This window comes from Homo sapiens, chromosome 6, assembly GCF_000001405.40.
Source record: "Homo sapiens chromosome 6, GRCh38.p14 Primary Assembly".
NCBI classification, from domain to species: Eukaryota; Metazoa; Chordata; class Mammalia; order Primates; family Hominidae; genus Homo; species Homo sapiens.
The window spans coordinates 6,143,192-6,170,104 of NC_000006.12; the positions used below are offsets into that span (position 1 = coordinate 6,143,192).

The following is a 26,913-nucleotide window of genomic DNA, read 5'->3' on the forward strand; positions in this document are numbered from 1 at the left end:
GTTTTTGTCTTTGGCTCTGTTTATATGCTGGATTACATTTATTGATTTGTGTATATTGAACCAGCCTTGCATCCCAGGGATGAAGCCCACTTGATCATGGTGGATAAGCTTTTTGATGTGCTGCTGGATTCGGTTTGCCAGTATTTTATTGAGGATTTTTGCATCAATGTTCATCAAGGATATTGGTCTAAAATTCTCTTTTTTGGTTGTGTCTCTGCCCAGCTTTGGTATCAGGATGATGCTGGCCTCATAAAATGAGTTAGGGAGGATTCCCTCTTTTTCTATTGATTGGAATAGTTTCAGAAGGAATGGTACCAGTTCCTCCTTGTACCTCTGGTAGAATTCGGCTGTGAATCCATCTGGTCCTGGACTCTTTTTCATTGGTAAGCTATTGATTGTGTGCCAGTTTAAAATCAATTGCTAGTTGCTACCTGGAAATGAGAAAGATTCTGAGGTCTTATCTGAGCTACAATTGTTCAGTGATGTCTGCCATGAATATAGGATCTCCTATACGTGATTATCATAAGACCATAACATGTGTTCGTTATGCTAGGTCTCCATGCTGGCTATCCACTGATTCACCATAATGGTTCATAAGATTATTTATGAGAAAATATCTACAGAGATTTTATAGTTTCTGGAAGCTGGTTTTTGAACTAATATGCAACTTGATCCTTCAGTGAATATAGTTAATAAAATGTAGAAAGAGAGAGGTGAAGAAAACTGTGACATTAACACCTGTTAGAGTCATTTTCTTTAGAGGATAAATGCTTGTTGTTTTCCTATCCAGGGTGGGTTGTCTACTGCGGAGGAAGGATGGTTTCTCAAGAAGTTGTGATTAGTAGTGTGTTATATTGAAAATTAAAAGCATTCACTTCTGCACAGATGCAAATATAATCAGTTTAACTTTATTTTAAGCTTCTATTACATTGTAATTAATAATAATATACTAAGTTAAGCCAGTTTAACTGTCTAGCAAAATGCATTTCATTTTAAAATTGGATATTGGGAGACTTGGCAAATGCTGTGAGATTACTTAGTAAAGTTAAGTATGATGTATATATAGAGGGGACCAGCTCACCCTCATAGGTTAGTGCTGAAGGCTCAGGAACAGTCTCAAAGGCTTAGAAATGTGGTTATATAGACCAGAGCATTCCATTCTGATTTTGCCCCCAGTATACTTATCACTGTTCATTTTTTGCTAAGAATCACAGTCTACTGACCTAAATCACACCCTAGACATATCAGAGGGAAATTCTGACCATAAATCAGCCTTGCAAATACATAGCAGGCAGCCTTCTCTGTAGTAGCCTTGGAACATAATACAAATGATGTCAGCATCCTCTGTGGTTGGGTCAGAACTAGCACTGGCTATTTGCAAGGCTGAGTCCATATTACCCTTCAGCACCTGAGTGCCAAGCTGAGGTCTCAACATGGGTGATGTGAAGGACAAGAGAGAATCAGTGGCTGCAGTCCTTCTATATATCTGGTCACTAGATCCGCCAGCTTCTTCAACTTGTTGGGCTTATTATATCTCTGAAAGGGGACCTGAACCTGCATCATTCTGCAAAGGAGATGATTCCTGAGAGATGGGTGAAATATAATCACTAACTAAAGAGATAAATTCTTCACTTTACTTCCTAGTATTGCATCCCAGAAAGGGTTAAAGTAAGGGATATTGGCTCCTGCTGATCAGGCCACAGTGTGACACATTCTATAAAATGCATCACAAAACTACATTATTCAATAGACTTGAGTGTTGCACCTGCTTTCTTATCTCCTTGTAGGTGGTTAAGTTTCCCACAAATGCAATTTGTTAATATGGGGCCACCTCTTCTAACAAGGTAAATCTAAAATTTGGCAGGCATTTGCTTGGCTGCAGGTGCAAAATGAAAGATCTTTTTCTGGCTTTGCCAAAAATAAAAATTATGTTGTGCTCTAGTCCTGGGAAAAATATTCTCACATGGAGGGTAGAACCTGACCCCGAGAAAGGGGACTGGAATTCTAGAGCCCAAATCATGTGCTATTATTCCCAAAAGGCTGAGTGGGGAATCTGAAGTCTTGTTTTAAATGAGGCCAGGTATTGAGCAAATCTCCCTGGTAAGAGAGCCCACTGATATTTGGAGATGTAGCCATTTGTGATGATAAATGATGACTGTTACTCTTATGAGCTATGAGAGCTTAATTAAAGCTAATGCTTAGCACTCTTTGGAAGGTGGAGAGATTAAAAACTAACTTCCTTGCCGAATAGCCTGGGTTTGGAAAAGCATGTTTTTGAAATATGTGGGATCTCCACTCTGGAGCCCTCTGCAGTCCTGTCTGGGTCTTCACACCTAAGTCAAAGCAAGAGCTATTTTTGCGTTAGAATTTCCTTAGCCAAGACTACAAGAGGCCAAATGCCAGGGTTCATCTCAGCTTCCTGTGCATTCACATGGAAGGTCGTCTTTGAATCTGCACGTCCAGCTCGCCATACACATGTCTCAGGGAGTCACTGCTCATGCTGGCTATCAGCTTCCGATGCCCAGAGACCCAGGGCCGGCACACTTCTTCCCACTGCACGGTGGAGTTGGGCCGGATTTCACTGAAAGGATGGAAAAGAGAGGAGAGGTTGGAAGATCCAGCTTTCCACTTTGATCAGGAAGCAATGAAAACTCTTGCCTAAGTCACTTGCTTTCTTTCTCTCAGTTGGTGCTTAGGACACTGAAGACTCTCACTGGCTGATTCAGCAAGTTATGCCCCAAATGAGGCCCCCACATAAAGCTCTGCAGAACCTGTCACTGACAGTCTTATTGGGTCATGGTTCCTTCCACTGGGATGCATCCGCCAGCCTCCCAGTGGCCATCAGGAGCTGGGCTGATTCCCATCCAACCATTAATCAACTGAACTCTAGCTTGTCTCCAAGCCCTCCATAGTAGCCTTATCTATGTGACTGATCTTCTGAGCCTCAGCTCAGTTTTTGCCACTAGTTTCCTCCTGGAATTACAGTCCTATATGAATCCCCCAGCTGCCTTTGCTGAGGCCCTGACACTCGAATTAGCTTTTGCCAACTCCCTTGGGATAGACCTTGTTCCCAGGCTCAGCATCTGGAATATAGCCCTGCCTGCTGCCATTTGACTTTGAGAATCTTCATGTTCTGTAATTCAAATTCCTATTTCAACCACCAAATTGGGCCCCTCCACCTATGCAACTTTCTGCTACCATTTGTTGCCAATGCCCTAATGTATGCGGCTAATGACATAGCCTTTCATGGTTCTAGTGTTCTCCTCTTCCTCCCAGCCTTTGCCCTGAAGTCTTCCTGAGTGTCACGAACAAGCCCACATCAGTGCAGACTGAGACTAATCAGGGTTGGTGAGATTTAGTGTTCTCTGGGGTGCTTCACATATAGCCTCCCCTATAAACCTTGGGAGATTATATTCAGGTTTTATATGTATGACAGTTCTTTGAGGCAGATACTATTCAGCAGATTTTATGATCAAGAAAAATGGAAGGTAACCAGTGAAGTCCCTTTTTCAAGATCACATAATTGGTAAATGGGCAGAGATGAAATTTGAACCCGGGTTTTTCTGAGTCCCATATTCATACTCTTTCTGCTCCTCTTCACTGCACTTCATAAAAGTGTACACCATATGTTCTATAAGAAAAGGCTTTTTCTAAGATATTTGCACACACATATTTATAGCAGCACAGTGTGCAATTGCAAAAATATGGAACCAGCCCAAATGCCCATCAATGAGTGAATAAAGAAATTGTGGTATGCATATACCATGGAATACTACTCAGCCATAAAAAGGAATGAAACAATGGAATTCACAGTGACCTAGATGAAACTGGAGACCAGTATTCTAAGTGAAGTAACTCAGGAATGGAAAACCAAACATCCTATGTTCTCACTCATAAGCTGGAGCTAAGCTATGAGGATGCAAAGGCATAACAATGAACAATGACGCAATGGTCTTTGGGGACTCAGGGGAAAGGTGGGAGGGATAAAAGACTACAAAATGGTTACAGTATATACTGCTTAGGTGATGGGTGACCAAATGTCTCAGAAACCACCACCAAAGAACTTATTCATGTAACCAAACACCAACTGTTCCCCAAAAACCTATAGAAATAAAAAAAGAAAAGAAGAAAAGGCTTTTTCTGACCATTGTGCTTACTTTTTCATAGGTTTTATTTCTCAAGCAGGAAAGATACTTTTTGACTTAGTAATAAGAGTGTCCTGGAAGTGTTCATGGAGGATTCATTGAACTCTTTGCAAGATAATTTAGGAAAGTTTCTCCTGCCTGTATGCAGAGAGAAAATTCTCAGTGCTCAATTCAATACCAATATAAGTTTGGGATATTTATTTCTCAACAGCTGTGCTATTGTTACCTGTATCCATTCATTCTCTCTCCTCTGGTTCCCCCAAGTGATCAATCAGAAGCACTTTGTGAAACAGTGGCCCTGGTTAAGGACCCGACCTGAGACCATGTACTGTAGATAACCACCTCAAATAGAAGCTAAGTATTTAGCCCCCTCTTATCATTTTCTCTTACTCATAAAACCATCCGGCATAATGATGTGTACATACGAAAAAACTCATACATGAAAATACTCATACATGAAGATACGTATGCATGCTATTTTACATACAGATAAATTCATAACAGAGAAAAAAGTATTTTGATAAGTGGAGCAATGTTGGAGTAATCCTATTTTCTGGGGATGGATGTTGTGATAAACGATTCTCAGTAACGTGCTGAGCCATCAGGAGATACCGGCCATTTATCATCTTGAATGCACGCAGGCAAATAAGATTATTATTACAATAAACTGCAACTGCCCATGGTTTGTCCTCTGTGCTTCTAGACCTTAGCTTCTGTCCTATTTGAGAAACTTAAAGTTTAAGCCCAAATCACAAAGTGGGGGAGTTTTTCTCTTGAAATAACATATTGAACTGGATCATTTTCTAAAGAGCAAAATAAATCTGGAAGATAAATTATTTGACGCTCTGGAAGCATCAAGTGCAGAAAGTTAAGAGTCTGTGGAGGTGGAACCTCTGCACATCTGAGACAGGCCGGAGGCAGTGGGGGAAGAGCAGGAAGATAAACCATTTCAGAGTAGAGTTGGCTCACTGCGAGTGAGGGGTGAGACACAGCACCGCCTTCTTTGTTCCTGGCTCCAATTCCCTGTTTACCAGCTCCTCACCTTCCAGGCCCTCTGCTTTGGGTTCAATAACCCCTGCCTTCTAGACACCACATCTGGCAGGGTGTGGGTGAATGAGTGGGGGTGGTGATTCCCCAACTATTTAAGAGCTGTATTCTAGAAAGAAATACGGTCTTGCAAAGGATTTTGGTTTTGTGGAATTGCACTTTCTAGGCGTCCAAGTTGTTACATGGATCTGGCGCTCCTAGATCAGATCTTGGCAACATAGGGCACAGTGGAGTGCTTCTAATTATCTGACCATATGGAAGTGGGCACGGACTGGCTCAGGTCTTGGTTGTGAAGGTGTGTGCTGGAGTGAGGAGTAAACAGAGAAAGTGGCACTTGCTCCAAGTTGTAAGCCCATCTTAGATAACAAATGTTTTCTATGTCATGATTTTTAGCCCAAGTTTTGACTGTCTCTGAGAAATAAAGCTTCTCTTGTCTGGGAGATATTCCACCCTGAAGCTGGGTTTCTGTAACTATTCAGCCATAAAAAGAATAAAATCCTGCCATTTGTAACAACATGAATTAGACTTGGAGGAAGGGCATCATGGTAAGTGAAATAAACCAGACATGGAAAGACAAATACTACATGATTTCACTCACATGTAGACACTAAAAAAAAAAAAATTATTATACCATAGAAGCAAAGAGCAGAACAGTGGTTACCAGAGACTGAGGAGGAGAACATGAAGGGGAAGATGGGAAGAGGTTGGCCAATGAGAACAAAGTGACAATTAAATAGGAGGAATAAGTTCTGGTGTTCTATTGCATGATAAGGTAACTATGATTAACAGTAGGTATTGTATATTACAAAAGAGCTAGAAGACAGGCTTTTGAATGTTCTCACCACAAAGAAATGATAAATGCATGGGGTGATGGATACACTAAATACTCCGATTTGATCATTATACAACATATATATGTATCGAAACATCAAATTGCCCCACATAAATATGTAGAATTACAATGTGTCAGTAAAAAAAACTTAAAAAGAGAGATTGAGGACTGTTACGGACTAAATGTTTGTGGTCCTCACACATTCATTTGTTGAAACCCAAACTCCAGTGTGATACCATTTAGCGATGGAGCTTTGGGGAGGTAACTAAATTAGAATAGGTCATGAGGGTGGGGCTCATGATGGGATTAGTGCCCTTCGAAGAAGAGGTGCCAGAGAACTTGCCCTCCCTCTCTCTGCCCCATGTGAGGACACAGTGAAAAGACAGCCATCTGCAAGCTGGGAAGGGAGCCCTCATCAGGAACCGAATTGGTCGGCACCTTGTCCTCAGACTTCCCAGACTCCAGAAGTGTGAGATATAAATGTTTGTTGTATAAGCCACCCAGTCTATGGCATTTCTGTTACAGCAGCTCAAACTGACTAAGAGCAGCTAGCTCTCTGTCTATCTACTTGTCTGCCTAGACTTACGTGTTGCAGTAACTACTAACAGTACCTTAAGCCAGTGTGTGGGCAGGACATCTGTGTCCAAGAAGGGACTGGCCTTATCCATCCTTTCTCCCGATTCACTCCACTTTGCTCCACTCCAATGTCAGACATTAACAATAAACAAACCATCTGGAGATTTAACCTATTTTGAGCCTGAGGCCTCCCAAATAGTGGGTCATTGCACTGTGTAATAATTCACTGTGTAATAATTCATCTTTTGTCTAAGACACACAGTGTCTTTTTTCATGTGTTGGCCTTGACCAAGGTGGAATTCTAGGGGGATAGCCAAGGTGTAAAGATAGAGAAGTTTCCGGTACACTCAGATAAAGCTTGTGGGTTTACTGTCTGGGAAGGAAAAAGTTGGATACAGCAGGGGGCTGTATGGAAGAGGAAACGTGTTTCACTTTGCCTGAACGATTCTTGCATCTGATTTGAGTGGGAAGGTGCGAGAATGGGTGAGTGAGACTGTCGTTTCTGACGAAAGCAGGGGTATGGCTGCTGACCTCTCTATGTAGCTGGGGTTGATTACTAATTTACTTATTTTTTTTTCCTGTAACTTTCCTGTTAGCACAGGAAGGTTGCTATGTTTTGTGCTTGCGTTGTTTCAAAAGCACTAAGATTATTTTCTCTGTTGTTTATTGCATCTGCAATAAGGCATCTCTTAAATGATGAGATGCAGAAGCTACGAGCATTGTAATTTGAAAGAAATGCGGAGAGCCCTTTATGGGCAATAAAGTTGCCCCAGAGGGTATAAGTGAGGCCTTGCATTTATCCCACAGATTCCAGAGTGGGGTCGCTTCCATAAAGGGTGTCGGGAAAATTCTTGACATATCTGGTCATGAGGCAGTTTCCAAAGTCCTCTACCTCCCTTTCTATGCCTTAGAAGGTCACTCCACAGGAAATGTGCTAGATTGATTGATGCTGACAAGGACTTATTTGTGGTAGAAATGAAAGTAATAAACCTCAAAGATTGGGATCCATTCTGGGTGTCACACTTTAAGAGGAGTAGTGACAAATTGGAATGTGTGGGAGAGAGAGAGAGAGAGCTGAAACCATGTTAGAGGAGAGGGAAATAAAGTCAGGACAGATATTTGTCCCCAGGTAGAAAAGATTCAAGGAAGATGAGACAGCTGTTTGCAAACATTTGCAAACCATCAGATGGAAAAGAGATGGGCCTTACTTTCTGTCAGTCCAGATGGCAGAATTAGGATCATTGGCAGGATCAAATGGTAGAAAAACCTGTTTCCTTACTGTTAGAGCTACCTGACCATGGAATGGGTTATCTTGTTGGGTCACACTCTTTGTTAGTAGAAGTCACAGAAACTGAGACCTGTCAAGCACAATTTGAAGTGGCCTGTGTGTGGAAGAGGCTGAGTTTCATTCATATCATTACAGAACCTGGGGTTGTCTTTGGTCCCCTGAATGGGGAACCATCTAGAGCTCTTTAGGCTCAACTAAAAAAAAACCTGAATCCAACAGTTGTAGACACTGATTGGGATGGTAAAATCTGTGAGGTGAGGCTGGAGACAAAGCACCCATGAAAAGGGGGTATCTCTCAGCATAATATCTGACACGTGGTAGGAGCTCAATAAAGATGAGAAGAGACCATACGTGAGTAGGTAGTACAGCAAAGTGGTTCAAACTTGGGTTCTGGAATTCACCAGCCTGAGTCTGAATCTTGGCTCTGTTTTCATAAACTGTGTAACTGAACCTGTGTAACCAGTCAACCTCTCAAAGCCTCAAATTCCTCAGCTACAGAAGGGAGATAATAGCAGTATCTACATCGTAGGGTGTCTTTAAGGATTAAATGATGAAAGTGCTGGTCAAACCAACCCTAGTTTTACTCCACGCCCTACAGAAATGGTCGGCAAGGAGGAGGCAGCTTCCAAGACATTTTCACTGGGGAGCAGATCTATGTTTGGAAAAGACACACACAGAGAAAGCTTCCCACAGCCCTGCACTGCCTGCCCGGTCTCCCCAACCCAAGGTTTACCGGAACATCTTCTTCATTGGTCTTGTTACTCCAGGACCATCCAGGTGTACCCAGACATTTCGCAGGGTTTCTTTTAAAGGATTGGTAAACTCAACTGTCACAGTCATGTCAGAACCAACTACCTGAGTGCCACGGACCTAAGAGAGAGAATGCAGGTCATTAGCACCAAATAAAACCTCGTTCTGCTCTCTTGTTGTCTTAACCATCATCACTTTTACTAGAGTTTTATGATACAGTTATTTTTTTGGCAATGGAACCAGTGTGATGAGGATAGCTGATTGCTTTGACTGGAGGATACCTATTGAGAAAGAGATGGAAATTTACTAATTAGAATCGCACTCTTTTCCTCATTATAAAACCAGCCTAATTAGAGCTCAGGTCAATAGCGGTGGCCACTGACTGCTCTTTGACAGCAGGAGGGGGAAGTTCATTTGGTGTGGCAACACGTTTCCACGGTGAGGGCGGCCAAGTGAACTTTGCTTCTGGATAGGCATCAAGTTTCCTGCTGGGACAAAGGGGATTCCTGAGTTTAAGAAGTAGAAAATGCTTCAGGGCACATGTGCCTTCTTAGTTTTAGACACATTCGCAAGAAATATGCCAAGGATGGAGTCCTTACTGTTGAACATGAAGAGGAACCTGGATACTAAAATAAGTAAAGGAGATTTTTCTTCTACAGCCACAGTACCAGAGTCCAGGAAAATAAAAGGTTATTTGTTGGTGAGTTGATCTATTATGACTCTCAGAAGTATCAGGTATTTGGAAGAACACCACAGGAGACAGCCAGAGCTCAGTGCCAGGTTCAACACTTATTAACAGTGGGGACTCAGGTGATTTAGGCTTTCTGAGACTCAGTTTTCTTGTCTTTAAAATGGGCTGACACTTTTATGGGGCGATCTATGTAGAATGCTCTTATTATTACTATACCTTAAGCTGTGTTTACTGTATGCCACACACTTTAGAACCATATGCTTTTCCAACATAAACGCAATGTGCCGCAAAATGCCAGGTGGCTATAAGACTTGTTTGTTTGTTTAGGAGCTATGTATACCAAATGAATGGATCTGTATAAGCTCTAAGTAACTTGGGAATAAGATAAGAATAATAGTTCTTCCCTTGCAAGAAAGGTTTGGAATGAAAAATGCTCATAAAACGGCAAACATATTGCAAGGCACATGGCAAAGGCCCAATGCATTACAGTTGATGCTTTTTAGGGTAGCAATGCTCTGGGTAGTTTGTCTTATTCACCTTATATTTCAGCCCACTTTTAACTCCAATACTTAGTACTTCAATACCAATGTCCAGTAAATATTTATTAAATTAAGTCAATGGCTCAAAAATGGAATTTACTGGATGTCTGGATCTTCCAGATGACAACACAGCCATTACTATTCCATGTTCCTTTAGCCACTATATAATATGGGAGAAAATATATGGAAATGAGGCGTTTTTAAGAATGGACGTAAAGAGGAAGGACATTGCCCAGAGAAGAGGACCCTTGCTTACTTATGCTACAGTCAAGAATAAAATCTTCCTGATCTGATCATTACACACTGTATGCATGAATTGAAAAATCACATGTACCCCATAAATATGTACAATTATTATATATCGATTAAAAGAAGAATACACTCTTATGGCTTTACTCATCAAGCCATGCTTTGTGACTAAATTTATGGCTATGGGATTTCTTAAGTCTATAAGAAAAACGAAACTTTCAGCCAACTCCCTAAACTTTGTTACATTTAAATCCGCATCTCCTGGAGGGCAGTGGTGGAGAGCTGGATTCAGGGGAACTAGGAGAGGGGCAGACGATGGTCATGGTAGCAACAACAGCAGGTGCACCTAGACAGCATGGATCGTGTGCCAGGCAGGGAGTCCAGCACTTTAACCAGCAATCCTCAGTCTGGTAATGGGTGGATCCTGTAATTCATTTATTTGAGGCACCCCTGTTGATTACAAAGAACCAGCCCCAGCTGACAACCATAATTCACATATATTCTCACATAAGCCTCACAACACAAGGGCTATATTTGTATCAGCTCGATCAGACTATAATAATAGTTATTCCCTTAAGAAGAAGGAGGTTTTCTAGGGCAGGATCACTGGTGCCAGGCATTTCATTTTATAAAAGAGAAAACTGTGGTTCAGGAAAATAGGTAACTTGAATGAGGATTTGAAGCTGCCAAATGACCAAGGTGGGATTGAAGTTAAAGTCTGTCTAACTGGAGATCTTGAACTCTAAGATAGAGTGCTACTCTGAGGTCAGAGGAGCTGGAAAAGCCAACAACTCAGCAATAACAAGACAACCAAAACTGTTTCGTACTGACGTCCAAAAAAAAAAAAAAAAAACGGCAGTCAGAAAGTAAGGGAGATTTTCAAACCGGTGGGAGCAACATTGGATTTGAAGCCACACTGACAAGACTGAGAATGGATAAGGCCTAATGGGGAGGAGACTGGTTCAATGACAGGCAAACTAGAACATGAACCAGAAGTTACTTTTAGGCTGGCTGGCACATGGGGTGTGGAGAGAGAAGCCTGGTTTGAAGGCTGTGGCAAAAACAGTAATCATGATCTAGATCAGGGCTTCTCAGCATCAACACTACTGACATATCGGGCTGGATGCATCTTTGTTGCAGAGCTGTCCTGTGCCAGGTACGATGTTAAGCAACATCCCTGGTGTCTACCCACTGCATGCCAGGAGCAGCCCCGCACCCCAGCCATCACAACCAAAAGTGTCTCCAGCAATTGCCAAATATTCCTTAGTAAGCAAAATTGCCCTCCAGTTGGAAACCACTGGTATAGACAAAACATGTGGAAGACAGACTGAATTTTTCACTTTCTTCCCAGAGGCCCTGCCTCAATCAATTTAGATATTGAAGGTGTAGCAATACATCAGAATACTTTACATGGTGTCCCTGATTTCATTCTCAAGTGTGTCCAATATATTTTTTCCTGCATTAAGAAACATTTCAAAAACATCTTTGGATTTAAAAAATACAAAATAAAGATAGCATTTACAAAAGCTCTCTAAACTGAAGAAGATGGAGCTGCCACAGAGACATTATTGGCAAAAGTGTTTGCTATGATCACTATATTCTTTCTGGAAAAAATATTTTGGAGCCATCTGTCTTCTCCATGGTATGCTATATAAGGATGGGCATAAGCCCCTTCAAAAGTATATCTGATAGTAGCTACTGACCTTTCCTCTACACAGACATACACAGTGACAAATACAAGATATATACAATATGGGCATGTATTTTTAGGGGATGCACTATAGACCTATGAAGTCCATACATGGTTTTCTAGGGGCCCATGAACCCTAGATTAAGAACCCTTCCCATACCAGTAGACTGGCTCTACATGAAGCCTCCTACGCTGTGGAAAGTGAAATACACCCTTCCAGGTCACTGATGACAGTGAGAAGGAATGCTTAGTATTTGAGAAACTGGCCCATGCAATTGGGCCATCATAGATAGGCTTCAGATCTGAATATGTTCAGGACATTAAACCTTCTCAGGTAATTTCATATGTCATGCCTAATCAGTTTGCTTCCAGTATTGTCTCTGTAATTAGATGCTGGCATGGGTGTATCAATTCTGCCCAGATTTCCCTGATGCTGGAGTGGGGAGCAGGGAGAAGGATGGGGAGGGGTGAGAGGAGAAGCCCTTCTCTGGTTGTAGTGTGTTTCTTTTGCAATTAACAAAGACCAGTGTCCCTTTTCTGACACTTGTCTCCTGCACCGAGAATGTAAACTTCCTGTCCCTGACTACTGATGATAATGAGCCTTAGACACTCAAACCAAACTAAATGTAAAAACCTACCCAATGCTCGACATCACTGTGTTCTGCTTGGGAAATGTAACTGGAGGTGTCTCCCTCTCCTTGCTTCTTTTGAGGAAAATGCTGCCAACACATAGTGTTTTCACGTTATGTGTTGATTTCAGTGATGCACCATGCTATGGTACCTACAAAATGCTGAGAACAATGACTATTTGGGGAGAAAATATCTGTTTGCATCACATTATTTTAGGAATCTGCAAAGCTCCCTTTTCCTTATTGCTGAAAGCATAATTCCATATCTGCATAGTCATATTTTCATTTCATTTTCACAGTCATATTTTTCATTTTCTTGCTCTCATAAAACCTTAAATAAAGGGAGCCTTCAGGCAATTTAGAGAAGGTTAGTTCAAGAAGAAACTTTTATGTGTATTTGCTTTAGAGAAGAGTATTCATTACTTGGGCCAGAGAAAAGAATAAAGCATATGTCTTACTTGGTGACGTCAAATGCTTTTGCATATACTTGATGGCCTTAAGTTTTTCTCAATATTCTATTGAAAATATCTCTCTCTGTTTTAAAAAAATCAACCCGTAGTATGCTTTTTCAAGTTACATATCACTTACTGATATTGACATTCCTGTCCTTTATACTAATTCATGATAATGAGCTGCTACTCTGATTCTTTGGTAAACAAGAAAGTTACTAACACACACATACTCTCTTTCTCTTATATAAACTTTTTGGAAAGAAATTACTTTTTTAGAAATCACAAGATATCTTCCACTAAGCATATGCTTTAAAAATACATAACTGTATTCAAAATTGAAACTGAAATGAAGGAAAAAGTTTGAGAAAGAGTAACAATAAGTGAGGTTGGCAATTTGAAATACATGATTTATTAGCACACCTAACAGCTCTTATTTCAAGTACTTTCAATCATGTATTGCACGTATTTCTGGAAACTGTATTTTTCCCTCCCCCTTGGCCTGTGATCATTTTTGATAATGGGCAATTTCTTGTTTGCAAACTCTGCTCATCACCACAGGCACTGCCCCTGCTTTTAGCTGACACTTAGATGAACACTTACTGACCAATGCTAATGGTTCTAGGGTGGTTAGGAAATGTTCTCAGTCTATATTTTTCCAATATAGTAGCCACTAGCCACCTAGGGCTATTTATAATTAAATTAATTAAAATTAAGTGAAATGTAAAAAATTCAGTTCCTCAGTTGCACGAGCCATCTTTCAAGGACTCAAAAGCCTCATATGGCTCGTGGCTACTGCATTGGATGGAGCAGATTTAAAATGTTCCCATTACCCTAGAAAGTTCTATCAACTCACTTAATCCTCCCAACACTAAGAGGTAAATATTAGGAGTCTTCATTTTATAGATGAGGAAACTGAGGCACAGAGGAGTTAAGTAACTTGCTCAAGTTCACACCATTAGTAAGTAGGGTAGGAGAGATTCAAATGTAGACAGTCTGGGGCCATAGCCGTTGCTCAGCAACACGTGATCCTGACTCTGGTTAATGACAACAATAATAACAAGTAACTTACATTTATTTAGTTAGTGTTTACTTAGTAATGCAGGCATTCTGTTCATCAGTTTACTTACACTACCTTATTTAATCTTCTCTACAGCCCTATGGTCTTGGGGGTAGACATGATTATTAATCCCATTCTGTTTACGTGAAATTGAAATTTAGAAGATAAATAAAAAGCCTACAGAGTTAGGAATCTGGCGGAAGTTGGATATAAATCCAGGTCTTTCTGACTCTAAAACATTCATCTTCAAAACTACCTATACTGTGATCCCTGACAGAATACAGGTAAAAATAGAAACTTTTTTTTTTGCTGGAATAGCTTCTTTATTTTCTGAAATCCAGCAAAGAATCATTTGCAGCATCACCTTTTAAGTTATCGCTAAACCATCAGTTGAGGACGAGGATTATAAGTTGACCCTGAACTAAATTAGAAAACATCTATAACTCACCTCTCTCTTTTTGACTTTATAGAGAAGGAATTAGATTTCTATGCCAGAGTAAAATGTGACAAGGTAGCCTTGGGGCCTTGATATATATTACTTGATGATAATAGGAGTCACTATCTAGGATTTTCTCTTTTAAAAATGAGAGATGCCACTTTTAAAAAGAGAATCAGTAGCCCAAACATACTGGGATTACAGGACTGGAATGTGAGATTGGTTATTCTCATGTGTGTCTCTTTTTAAGATTCAAAAAAATAGCAAACATGAAATGCACAGAGCAAATTATGTTTTAGGTACCGCAGTTACCAGTGACTCCTCATTTTCATTCTAAAATGTGTACTGTTCTGTAGCTGTCCTGAAGAGAGAGATGGAAATGAACACCTTCGATGAGGAGGGCTCACTCATAGACATAGTTTACGATCATCTATCCTGGCTAAGGGCACCCACGGTTTGGTCCCACGGCCACAATCCTCTGTGAAAGTAGCCACGAGGGGATGGAGAGTCAGCTATGGGAGCAGGGCTGAAGGTGTCCCCTCCTAGGGTCCCCTGGGGTAAGCAGGCTTTCCTTGCTCAGAGTCCCTCAGGACTCATAGGTAGATACCTCTGATTTACTCCACAAATAACCTGAAACAGTGTCACGGACATAACTGAGGTGACTGGGATGCACACAGTGGTGCTATTCCAGGCCAAGCTGAAGGGAGAGCAAGCTGGATGCAGGGGCTGAAGACCGGGGCTGCCACTTTGAGTTTTTAGACAAGTCGCTTGACTTCTCTGGGCCTCAGCTTCTTATGCAGTTAGTGGGGTGACTCAATGTAATATCATACAACAGAGCATCTGACACATACTAGCATTAATGAAATATGAGGTTTAAAGGGAGAACATGTTGCCAGGGTGACCCTGAGAACCTCCTCACCTATAGGGTCTTCTATGGAGAATGACGTGGATTCGGTTTCTCAGGGGTTAGAGAAGAGAGCCACAAAGGGGAGAGGTGAAGAAGCCCACCTCCTGGTTCCCATCCCCGGCCTCCCCATGAAGGGTGTGGGTGTGGGCAGGGGTGAATCTTGGTGACGAGAGTGCGATGGAGCCACAGAGAGTGCAGGAGGCTGGAGAGAGAACGTGCTCGGTTGTGGACATGGAGGGGAAAATGGTCAGGGTTCAGCAATAATTAGAACACATAGTCTGTTCCCATTTTCCACCTTAATGAAGTTTGTGATATTTACAGCACTAAATGAAACTACAGTTAAGTCTCACAGTGTAGCCAGTCACTGTCATGTACTTTGTTTGGGGCACTCATTATATCTCAAGTGGTTTCCCCTTTTTTTCTTTCTTTTTTTTTTTTTCGAGACGGAGTCTTGCTCTGTTGCCCAGGCTGGAGTGCAGTGGTGTGATCTCAGCTCACTGCAAGCTCTGCCTCCCAGGTTCACGCCATTCTCCTGCCTCAGCCTCCCGAGTAGCAGGGACTACAGGTGCCCGCCACTATGCCTGCCTAATTTTTTGTACTTTTAGTAGAGATGGGGTTTCACCGTGTTAGCCAGGATGGTCTCGATCTCCTGACCTCGTGATCCACCCACCTCGGCCTCCCAAAGTGCTGGGATTACAGGCTTGAGCCACCGTGCCCAGTGGTTTCCCCAATTTTAATGTGTCCTCTGGGATAAAGTTGTATGAATGGGATGTGGGAGGAGTGAGATCAGCAGCCACCACAGCCACCCACCCTTCCTTGGTCCATCCCGGTGGGTTTCCAGGGTGTGAGCCGTAGGGAGACTGAAGAGGATTCTACTGTTAACCTCGGTAAAAATTGTGGGCATCTCATGAAAAGCTCCAGTTAGAACACAACATTAGGATGGTTGTTAAGAAAAAACAAGCTAGTGTCCCAAGTTGGAAGAGATCTGGACATGGGGCTGGAGCCAGGATGCAACTGTGCAAAGTGGAAAAGGGAACCCCCTTTTTTGGGGGGATGTGGCTCCATGCCAGGCTGCAGGGCTTGATGGTTGGCGAGTGGGCTGGACTGGGTCCCCTCACTGTCTCCTTCCCACCTGCAGATGGGCACAATCTGCACAGGGGTGAGTGCTGGCCTGGAGGGAAGCCGCCCAGAGGAAGGTCCCTGCCTCCTCTCCGGGGTCAACAGTGATACTTCCCATGGATCTTGTGTTATCTATACAATTCCCCACCAATCAGTGCTGGTCATGCAGATATTCTGCTTGTTGAAGTCGATTTCTGTGGGTTAAGCATCTTTCACAGGCCCCATGTACACTGTCTTTGCAAGAGGAGCACCCCAGGCTCTGTGTAAGTGCTGGTTAGCTCAGGTTAAAACAGAGCAACTGCACTCCTGGAGCTGTTCCAGGTGGGCCAGTGCTGAAAGAAAGTGGCGCAACCTTTCCCCATTTCAGAAAAATGCAACAAAAATGTTCTCACTGTTGGCCGGGCGCAGTGGCTCACGCCTGTAATCCCAGCACTTTGGGAGGCCAAGGTGGGTGGATCACCTGAGGTCAGGAGTTCGAGACCAGCCTGGCCAACGTGGTGAAACCCTGTCTCTACTAAAAATGCAAAAATTATCTGGGCGTGGTGGTGGGCGCCTGTAATCCCAGCTACTTGGGAGACTGAGGTAGGATAATTGCTTGAACCCAGGAGACGAAGGTTGCAGTGAGCCGAGATCACACCACTGCACTCTAGCCTGGGGGACAGAGTGAGACTCCATCTAAAAAAAAAAAAGGAAAGAAAGAAAATGTTCTCACTGTTGAATTTTTCTCTGATAATGTTTTGCTTTTGTTTTGTTTTGTTTTTTGAGTCTTGCTCTGTCACCCAGGCTGGAGTGCAGTGGCGGGATCTCGGCTCACTGCAGCTTCTGCTTCCTGGATTCAAGTGATTCTCCTGCCTCAACTTCCTGAGTAGCTGGGGTTACAGGCACGCACCACTACAGCCTGGCTAATTTTTTATTTTTAGTAGAAACAGGGTTTCACCATGTTGGTCAGGTTCATCCCAAACTCCTGACCTCAAGTGATCCAGCCACCTTGGCCTTCCAAAGTGCTGGGATTACAGGTGTGAGCCACTGCACCCGGCCTCTCTGATAATGGTTTTGAAAGCTCTAGGCATTTGCTACAATTTATTTACAGAGTGGGCACCAAATAACTATATGAAGAATGGATGAATGCAAGAGTGACTAAATAAAGAGATAAATAAAAACTAGAAAGTCTTTCAGCTAATGGACAAAATAAATACAGAGCAAACGCTTACTTTTAAAAACTCTTGGAAACAGTCAATTGTCCTCATTTTAAAAGCTTTTTTTTTTTTTGAAAAATTTGGAGACATCTGTTTGCTTATGCTTGTAACTTTAAAAATCACACACATAAAAAATGGTTATGTTTTCTCCTAGCAAAATTGTTCCTAGTTCACATGAGAAAATTAGTTCTATTGGTGCTTCCTGACATCCTGCAAAGGCTGCAGGACTTTTTCCACATGATAATACCACACAAGTGCTGGCTCCTGAGCTGCTTTAGAATGGCAGGTACTGAGTAGAGATCATTGGAGGAACATGTGAGTGTCTCCTCTCTCCCCTAGGCCTTACTCCAGGATCTCCAAGGCGGGCCTCCCTGCATGAGGAAGGCCCCATTCCACAGGGAATGCTGCATACACTCAACACCTGGTGACCAGAGATTCAAGAGATTCCATGCCACTAGGTGAGGGCCACACTCAGGCCACTGGCCCACTTCAGGCCAGTGGCCCACATGCTGCCCTAAGCAACCCCCATGCATTGATGGGACTACAGAGGAGAAAGAACATTTACCAACAGCTACTAGGTCTGGACGTGGGCCATGCATTCTCACAAACATTGCTACAGATGTCAATCCCCCCAGTGCAGTGTTTTATATGTGACTGTACTTAATAGAAGGAGCAGTATAATCATAGTGTATTCACTTTGCAAAGGGGATACTGAAGTTCAGAGAGAGGATGTGTGTGTGTGTGTGTGTGTGTGTGTGAGAGAGAGAGAGAGAGAGAGAGAGAGAACAAGCAACACATGGGAAGGCAGAGAAAAATTCTATGTCTGATTGTAATGAAATTTTCTTTTCTCATCAAAATATTTTGATAGCATGGGGAAAGAGACGTGTGCTCATTAAAGTTTAATGACTGTCTCTCTCTGCCTGTTTCCATGTGAGGATCACACACTCTGACTCACACATGGTGGGTGCTGGGAATGGTTGACTGGGAGCACTATTGAGCCCAGGCCCCATCTTTATCACCACAGGGACCAGTAAAATCCACGACTGGGTCCACTGGGATGCACAAACAGGAAGCCACTGGCCTGCTTTGGTTGACGGTGACTTGGATTCAGACATGTGAGCCCAGTATTGTTCCAGATTGGCCTAGATTTGATCTAAAGGGGAATCAGGTAAGAACAGCTGGAAACTAGCTTTTAGGAAACTCCAGTTCCAAGGCTGAGTTGGGTACTTCCTGGAGAAGACAATGCTTTGGGCAAAGGCTTTGAAGAGAAGGGAGGAAGAAAAAGCGGCTCCGACTTGTGGGAGAGCAGAGTTGACAATCATGTTACATTCCCACTCTAGAAACTCCCTTGAAGCCTCTTTGTTCAGAGAGTCGATGATAAAGCTCTCATCCAAAATTGTAGACTCCCCTCCACATAGCCTCAAGCTATCTTTTTCAGGTTACCCTTACTCATCCCTGCTCCCAGCCTCCACCCCAGCCAAGGCACGCTTCTCACTGCTCTACATACTGCCGTCCACCTCCCCTCTAGCCCTTGCTAACATTTTCTTCCTAGTATCTGAAGGGGTCTCTCCATCCATCTCTACTGGTTGAACGTTATCTGTTCATTGGAGACCATTCATCTTTCTACAGTCTTAATTCTTGATGTCCCACACCACTCAAGTGTGTGTGATCTCTCCTCCCTTGAATACAAAACTCTCTGCAAAGTCAATGACCACCTCTGCTTTTTGTGATAGTTCCATTGTAGCCCAGCGGCTGCCAGCACAGGCTTCCAAGTCAGGAAGACCTGGGCCAGAAGTGTCTCTCCTTCCCTCAACAGGCACGTGATCACGGGCCAGTTACTAATAAACAGCAATAATGGCAATAATAGCAGCAACCAACATATGTAGGTGTGCACTGTGACTCGGGCATCCAATGACTCATAAAAAACTCACAAGGACCCCAGGAGGAGAGTTACCATTGCTTTTGACTTACAGATGAGAATGCAGAAGCCAACAGAGGTGAAATGATCTGTCCAGGTTTACACAGTTATGATGTTCAGAAAACAAGCTTTAAACTCAGATGATTTGGTTCCAGAGCCCATGTTCTGACCACTGTGCTACAAGGCACTGCCTTCTCTGGTCCTCTCAGTTTTCTAATCAGTAAAATAGGGTTATAGTAACGTCCTCCTTGTAGGATGGTATAGAGGGTTAAATAAGATCATAGAAGAGAGGCGTTTAATAATGTAGTGCTTAATAAATCATAGCTGCTGTCATCATAATCACCAGGGGCTGGTCCCAACCCTTATCTTGACTGAGCTGAGCAGGAAGGGCTGTGGTCTCCTCTCTGTCTCTCACATAATTTCACCCTGTGCCTGGCACATTTGCCCACAGCAACCTTGAGGCTCAGTCAGTTGTGTGTCCATCCAGGCTCAAAGAGGTTGAAAAAGGGTGTGAGCGTTTTCTTAGAATTTAGAGAAACATATCCTATGTAATTCTGGACCTCTGAGCCATTGTGGTTTCGTACTTTTACTGCATTTAGCTCCCTTTCCAAGTCCTCATTTTTAAAAAACCTTTTATTTTAAGTTCAGGGGTACATGTGCAGGTTTGTTATATAGGTAAACTCATGTCATGAGGGTTGTACAGATTATTTTGTCACAAAGATATTAAACCTAGTAGCCATTAGTTATTTTTCCTGATCCTCTCCCTCCTCCCACGCCGCACCCTGCACCCTCCAATAGGACCCTGTGTGTGTTGTTTCCCTCTATATATCCACATGTTCCCATCTTTTAGCTCCCACTTATAAGTGAGAACGTGCAGTATTCGGTTTTCTCTTCCTGTGTTAGTTTGCTAAGATAATGGTCTCTGGCTCCATTCGTGTTCCTGCGAAGGACATGACCTCATCCTTTTTTACAGCTATGGCTGCATTGTGTCCAGTCTACCATTGATGGGCATTTAGGTTGATTCCATGTGTGTGCTATTGTGAATAGTGCTGCAATAAACATATATGTGCATGTATCTTTATGATAGAATGATTTATATTCCTTTGGGTATCTACGCAGTAATGGGATTGCTGGGTCAAATGGTAGTTCTGTGTTTAGCTCTTTCAGGAATGGCCACACTGTTTTCCACAATGATTGAACTAGTTTACACTCCCACCAACCGTATATAAGTGTTCCTTTTTCTCCACAACCCCACGAGTACCAGTTATTTTTTGACTTTTTAATTATAGCTATTCTGACTGGTATGAGATGGTATCTCATGGTGGCTTTGATTTGCATTTCTCTGATGATTGGTGATGTTGCCAATAACCAGCATCTATAAGGAACTTGAACATGTTTACAGGAAAAAAACCAAACAACCCCATTAAAAAGTGGGCAAGGGACATGAACATAGATATGGCCAACAAGCATATGAAAAAAAAAGCCCATGGAGGCTATAATTCTTAAGAAACTAATGCAGGAACAGAAAACGTAATACCGCATGTTCTCACTTATAGGTGGGAGCTAAATGAGGAGAACTTACGAACACACAGAAGGAAACAAACAGACACTGGGGTCTACTGGAGTGGGGAGGATGGGAGGAGGGAGAGGAGCAGAAAAGATAACTACTGGGTACCGGGCTTAGTACCTGGGTGATGTAACAATATGTACAGCAAACCCCTGTGACACGTGTTTATCTACATAACAAACCTTCATATGTACCCTCAAATCTAAAATAAAAATAGAAAGACAGGAAAGGAAGGAAGGAAGGAAGGAGAAAAAATAACTCTTAATTGAGTTGTGTTTTATACAATTTATCTGACCCCTCTCCCTAGGCCTCCTTTGGAATATTTCAACTTGAAGTTTTCTTATTACTCTCCTCTCCCCGTTTTTCTCTTCTCCCCCCCATTCTCGCTCCTTTTTCCCTCTTGTCCCTTCCTCTTCTCTTCTGTTCTCTCCTCTCCCCTCCTGTGCCTTCCTCTTTTCTTTCCTCTTTTTCTCCTCTCCATCTTCCCCTCCCCTCCCCTCCCTCCATCCTTTTCTCCTCTGTTCTCTCCTCTCCCCTCTGTTCTTCTCTCCTCTCCCTCCCTTCCCCTCCCTCCTTCCCTCCCCTGCTATGACTCTGCATTTCACCTCTCCAGGAGGCTAGGCAGGTCCCCAGTCCACAGGCCGGAGCTTCTGCACTCAGGGCCTCTCACAGCTCCGTGACTCCTGGGTGGTCCTTAGGGTGTGAGTGCTTTACCCAGGAGCACTTCTACTCCATTTGGATTTAGGTTATCCTTGGAGTTAGTTGGGCTAATGGTTAAAGGACAGTTTATGGGATGATGCCCCATTCCACCTTTTTGAACAAACTTGGCATGGACAGAAGCCAGAATCTCCATCTCTCTCATGCTCTCTTCCCTATCAAATGTCCCTACCTCTAAATAAGTTTCCTCCAGGAACAGCATCTCTGGTTGCTTTGTGGAAGGAAACACAAAACAATATAACTCTCCATTTAAAGTACTCTCTACATGCCCAGGTCTGCTAACTTGTGGGATAAGGTATTCTGATTGTGCCCTGGGGAATTAAACTGCTCTTTAAGTAAACCCAGAAGATAACTAACAAATAATCCTGCAAATTAATAGTGCCTAAAAGATGAAAGTTATCAGTTTCCTTCATACATCCGGTTTATTATCAGTGGTGCAATTAAATTCTATTTTCTGCTGTGGTTTGAGCACTTCACAGCTTGGGAAGCCTCTCTCCTGAGACCTTCACAGGGACAGGCCGTCACTTCATAATTAGGTACGCACACAGGCCTTGCTGCTGTCAGGGAAGGTTCAGGGTTGAGCTCATAAATGAAACCTGCGCAATAGCCCAGAAGGGTAGCAAAAGCTGCTTCCACCAAGCAGCTGGGACAGGCCTGCAGCAGGGGGTCCCACATGTCTATAGGAAGAGCCAGCTGTGAAGAACAGCTTCGGGGTTAGGGCATCCTGCACCTTAAGCTATTAACTTCACGTTCTCATGGATGATGGTACCTCTGCAGCAACCCTAATCCCCACCTCTCCATTTTGCATTTGTTTCTCCCTTTGCCTGCCAACCCTGCACAGCCTCGTTTTCATTCTTTTCAGGCGTCCTGTGCACACAACGCCATGGTGGGCCTGTGGGCCATGACAGAGGCGAAGGAAACAAAGAGACATGACAATGTAGGCCTTTGTAGAAAAGAAGGGCCTGGTGTTCTGCTCCCTGATGGGCATTACATGCCCGTGAGTTTGGGTGGGACTTGCCTTGGGGTGGCTCACTGTGTCAATTACACAGGACCAGACCATAAGAACGTTCAGTTGAAGGAGCTGGTTCCCAGCCCTGCTTTTGCAGCCAGCCTGCTGGGGTTGGAAGCCCAGCTCCGCCATTTGCTGGCTGTATGGCCTTGGAGGAGTTATAGAACCTCTCTGTGCTTCAGTTTTCTCATCTGTAAAGTGATGCCAGTACTCTTTACCTTGTGGGGTTGTTGGTGGTTGAAAATGCAACCATGTAAAGTGCTTTAAGAACAGCGTCTGGAGCCCAGTAGTTACCCAAGAAACACTGCCATTCTGAATGCTGCACAGCAGTCATTGGCTTTCCAAATGACTCACAGCAAAGGATTCACGAGAAGCAAGGACTACCTACCCTCACCCTGCCCACCTCTAGGACCATTAAAATGTGATCAACTTTATAAAGCTTTGATTTATCTACCACTTTAGAGCAATGTAGTTTAGCAGGATCTGTGCTAATTGCTCTTAATCACTTCAAGAAGATTGTTCTCCAGAGACTAGGGAAGGGCTCTAAGACCTGGATAAGGGCTGCATGAGATGTCACTCCTCAGGGTCACTGCCAGAAGCCTGGGTTCCTGCTTCCAGGGCAGGAAGGCGTCTCATGGATGCAACCACAGATGCCCCCAGAAGCTACAGCTGTGGGCCTGAGAAGTAGGAGCACAGAGGCTCCCACATTTATCTTCCACTCTCATCAACCCTCGGCCTTCCTCTGCCAAGTCTCTTGAGCCATTTGGGCAGAGATTTCTGGTGATCACTGGAGAGGCATCATGAAAACTACTGGTCAAATGGGCAAAACAAACCTATGGTGATAAAAGTCAGAAAAGTTACTATCTTGGTGATAGTCTAGGGGGTTATTGGCTGTAAAAGGCAAGAGGGAACCTTCTAGGGGTGTTGGAAATCCTCCATTTCTTCATCTGGCTTGTGGTTGCAAGGCACACGCACATACAAAATCATCATCAAGCTGTATATTTTGATCTGTGCAATCTACTATCCACAATTATACCTCCATAAACAATATTACTGTCCAAAATGTTGCAGGCAGTTTATCTACCTCTTATAGCATGCCTGACCCACTTTATTCTGGAGACACTGAAAGTTCTAAGTATCTGTAGCCATTACACATCTTTATCTTCCTCCACAAGTGTGTTTATACCCACAGGTTATATTTATATCTGCAGCCACATCTATATATTTAAATCTGGAGAGGAGAGGAAAGTGTTATATGTATGTGTCTATATATAGGGCAGTTTACTTCTTTCAAAGAACAAGAGGATCCTAGCACTGGTATTTTTTTTTTTTTTTTTTTTTGAGCAGGACATTCATTCACACACACACACACATACAAGCACGCATATGCACACATGAACACTAAGTCTGCGTGCCTTTGTCTCTGTTCCAGGATGAGACGCTAAGACTGACCTTGATGATGATCTCAGGGATGGTTAGCACGGTGGACTTTTGCTTGGCCAGAACATCCCTGGTCTCATTGATGCGAGCTGTGACAAAGAAGTGCAGGGACGCTTGTTCCAGCAGCTGACCCATGTACTCGCCGGCTTGGATCAGCACCGCCTCTTTCTTGACTAGTAGGAGAAAACACACACAGGCCTGGCATCAAGACTTGAGACAGGGTCTGCTTTACTTTTCTCCAAGTTTCCCTACCCCTCCCACATTAGCCTGGAAGCCACCAGGAACACAGCAAAGGTAAGGGGCAAGTGGAACAAAGAGTCAATTGGGGATAAGCTGTCCTGCTTCTTAGGTAAAGAATGTGCTGGAAATTTAATATTCATTGAAGTCTCACTGGAGAAAATGTGTCAAACCTTCCAAACAGTTCTTTTGCTGTTGTAAAAGAAATGCCATGGAAAAGATGTGATTTTCATGGCAAAGAAGGACCAATGGGTTTTAATGGTGGCTTTGATTTGGGCCGGGATCATCCCAAAATGGAACATGTGGGGTGCTGAAGTCCAAGGCCCCCATTCCACATAGGATCCCTTGTCAAATAAGAAGTGTCTCACCTAGGCCATGGGCCACACTCAGACTAAATTGTCAACTACCTACACATTTTCTCTGTAGCATTCCACATTTTCTCTCCAATCTGATATGATTTTTCTATTTAAGAGAAGGAAGCTGTTGAAACCAGTTTCTACCAAAGGCATTCAACTATCTCCGAACCTCTGTTTGTGATTTAGAAGACCTCTGTGCCAAACAATTGTTTTCTCAATGGAAACCAGTCACTGATGTCAGATTTCTAGGTCCTGGGGACAAGCCAATGAGAATGGCATTTGGAAGATGGAGAGTGGTCCTGGCTCCCCTCCAATTACCATCTGGGCTGAGGATGGTGAGTTCTATCTTGTGGCTCTGGCTCACTTTCTCTCTAACTCCCATTTCCCACTGTCCAGGATTCTAGAGAGCAATGGGCAGTTTTTCTGTAGGCTGAGCCCAGGTGTGCACCCACTGCTACCTGGTTGGAGCCAGATGCCTGTATGTGCCGACAGCTGGCAGACTCCGCAGGTGAATGGGTGACTCATTCCTCCATCCCCAGCCACAGAGAACAGACTCTATGAACCTTCACAGAACTGAATGTCTTTACTGCTTTCCTTCTCAGTTTCTGGCTTTTGCCAAAGACTTCCCCTTCCTGTGGAAGTTATTGAAGGAAACAGCTTCATGGCCAACAGTTTGAGCACAGAGGGTAATTCATTTTAGCCTGCTGTACTGAACAGCAGTTTTGCAGCAGGGTGGGGTGCCTGTGGATGGGCATGCACCAGAGCAGAGGGCAGGGCCCCTGACTCCCCACTGGCTCGAAGGTGTGGGTGCATTGAGCCATGCCCATCATCTGTGGAGGAACTCTCACACCTGCGATGGATCTGCAGCAGCTTGCTCTGGACCTTGAAGACCAAGAGGCTGGGAAAGCCTCTGTCTTGGGCAGCACTTCTATTTGGAAGTCTCTTTACAGATGCGTAAGTGCTGTGCCTTGCTTCCAGGACTTCTGATTGAAGAGTTCTCAGTCATGGCTCTATATCACAATCACCTGGGGACCCTTAAAGACCTACCAAGCTGGCTCTCATTCCAGGCCAATTAAATCAGAGCCTTGGAGGACCTAGACATCTGTATTTTTAACAGCTCTGCAGCTGACTCTGATGTGCAGCCAGGGTTGAGAAGGGCCACTCCAACAACCAGGGGCATCCCTGTAGAATCAGCCCTGCAGACAGCCTGGGTTCCAGTGGAAGGGATGGCTTTCCAGTCCAGGTCTTTGCTGTTCCTCCTGCGGTCTGCACACCAGCAGCACCATCATCACCTGGGAGCTTGTTACAGATGCAGATTCTCTGACTTCTTACTGCACCAGTGAAGTCAGGATCTGCATTTGAATAAGACCCCAGACAATGCCTATTGAAGTGTGAGATACTCTGAGAGACAGGAGGTTCTAACAGCAGAAGGGGTAAGTTAGGGCAGAGTTAGGGTGGACTGAGAACTACCTGGGTTTTAAATTGAAAGGCCTGCATCCTGAGAACCCCATCAATCCCTGGAAAACTAGAAAGGTTGGTCATCCTAGACTAGTAGTTGTCAATAGGAGGCAATGTTATCCCCAGGGGACATTTGGCAATGTCTGGAGAACTTTTTGATTGTCACAACTGGGGTGGAGGGTGGGTTACTACTGGAATCTGGTGGATAGGGGCCAAAAATGCAGTTAAACATCCTACAATGCACAGGATAGTCCCACAACAAAGTATCCAGCCCATAATGTCAATGGTGCTGAAACCAAGAAACCCCGCATAGGGCAGGTGGATTATTAGAATGTATTGGCCTATTTTGGGCAAGCGCTAAAGAGCTAGCTTTGTTGGCTTGATTCCTGGGGCAGAGCTATTCCATTTAGAGCTGACTCTTTAAAGCTATGACCTTGCCTTGACCTTGGCCCCCAGGTCCTGCCTTTTGGAATGACCCGCTCTCGTATTGCTGTCTTTGGACCTAAGCCTGGACCCTGCTTCCTCCATGGCTCCCCTTGCAATTAATTGTTTAGATGAGTGAGGTTCTGGCCCTCTATTGGTTACAGCCTCAGATGAGCACAAATGGT

General features: G+C 43.5%; 1 protein-coding gene and 2 non-coding genes across 3 annotated transcripts in view, besides 1 other annotated feature; 1 reads left to right on the top strand and 2 right to left on the bottom strand.

Moving 5' to 3' along the window:
• Positions 893 to 26,913, bottom strand: part of F13A1 (coagulation factor XIII A chain) — a 176,579-nt gene continuing 150,558 nt past the window's right edge. The window contains exons 13-15 of the mRNA NM_000129.4: positions 24,267 to 24,427; positions 8,622 to 8,758; positions 893 to 2,581 (exon numbers count right to left, since the gene is read on the bottom strand). Coding sequence (NP_000120.2) covers positions 2,428 to 2,581; positions 8,622 to 8,758; positions 24,267 to 24,427 — 452 coding nt within the window. The 3' untranslated portion in view covers positions 893 to 2,427. The remainder of the gene's footprint in view (positions 2,582 to 8,621; positions 8,759 to 24,266; positions 24,428 to 26,913) is intronic.
• Positions 25,794 to 26,459: an enhancer, noted in NCBI's record as "OCT4-NANOG-H3K4me1 hESC enhancer chr6:6169218-6169883 (GRCh37/hg19 assembly coordinates)". NCBI's record gives its function as "activates a minimal SCP1, AML or CMV promoter by ChIP-STARR-seq in naive H9 embryonic stem cells {active_cell/tissue: H9 hESC(naive)}" and the evidence as "EXISTENCE:reporter gene assay evidence [ECO:0000049][PMID:30033119]".
• On the bottom strand, positions 26,113 to 26,244 carry MIR7853 (microRNA 7853). The gene has a single exon (NR_107007.1). It is a non-coding gene; the product is annotated as a microRNA 7853 (primary transcript).
• Positions 26,143 to 26,218, top strand: MIR5683 (microRNA 5683). Its single transcript, NR_049863.1, has one exon. It is a non-coding gene; the product is annotated as a microRNA 5683 (primary transcript).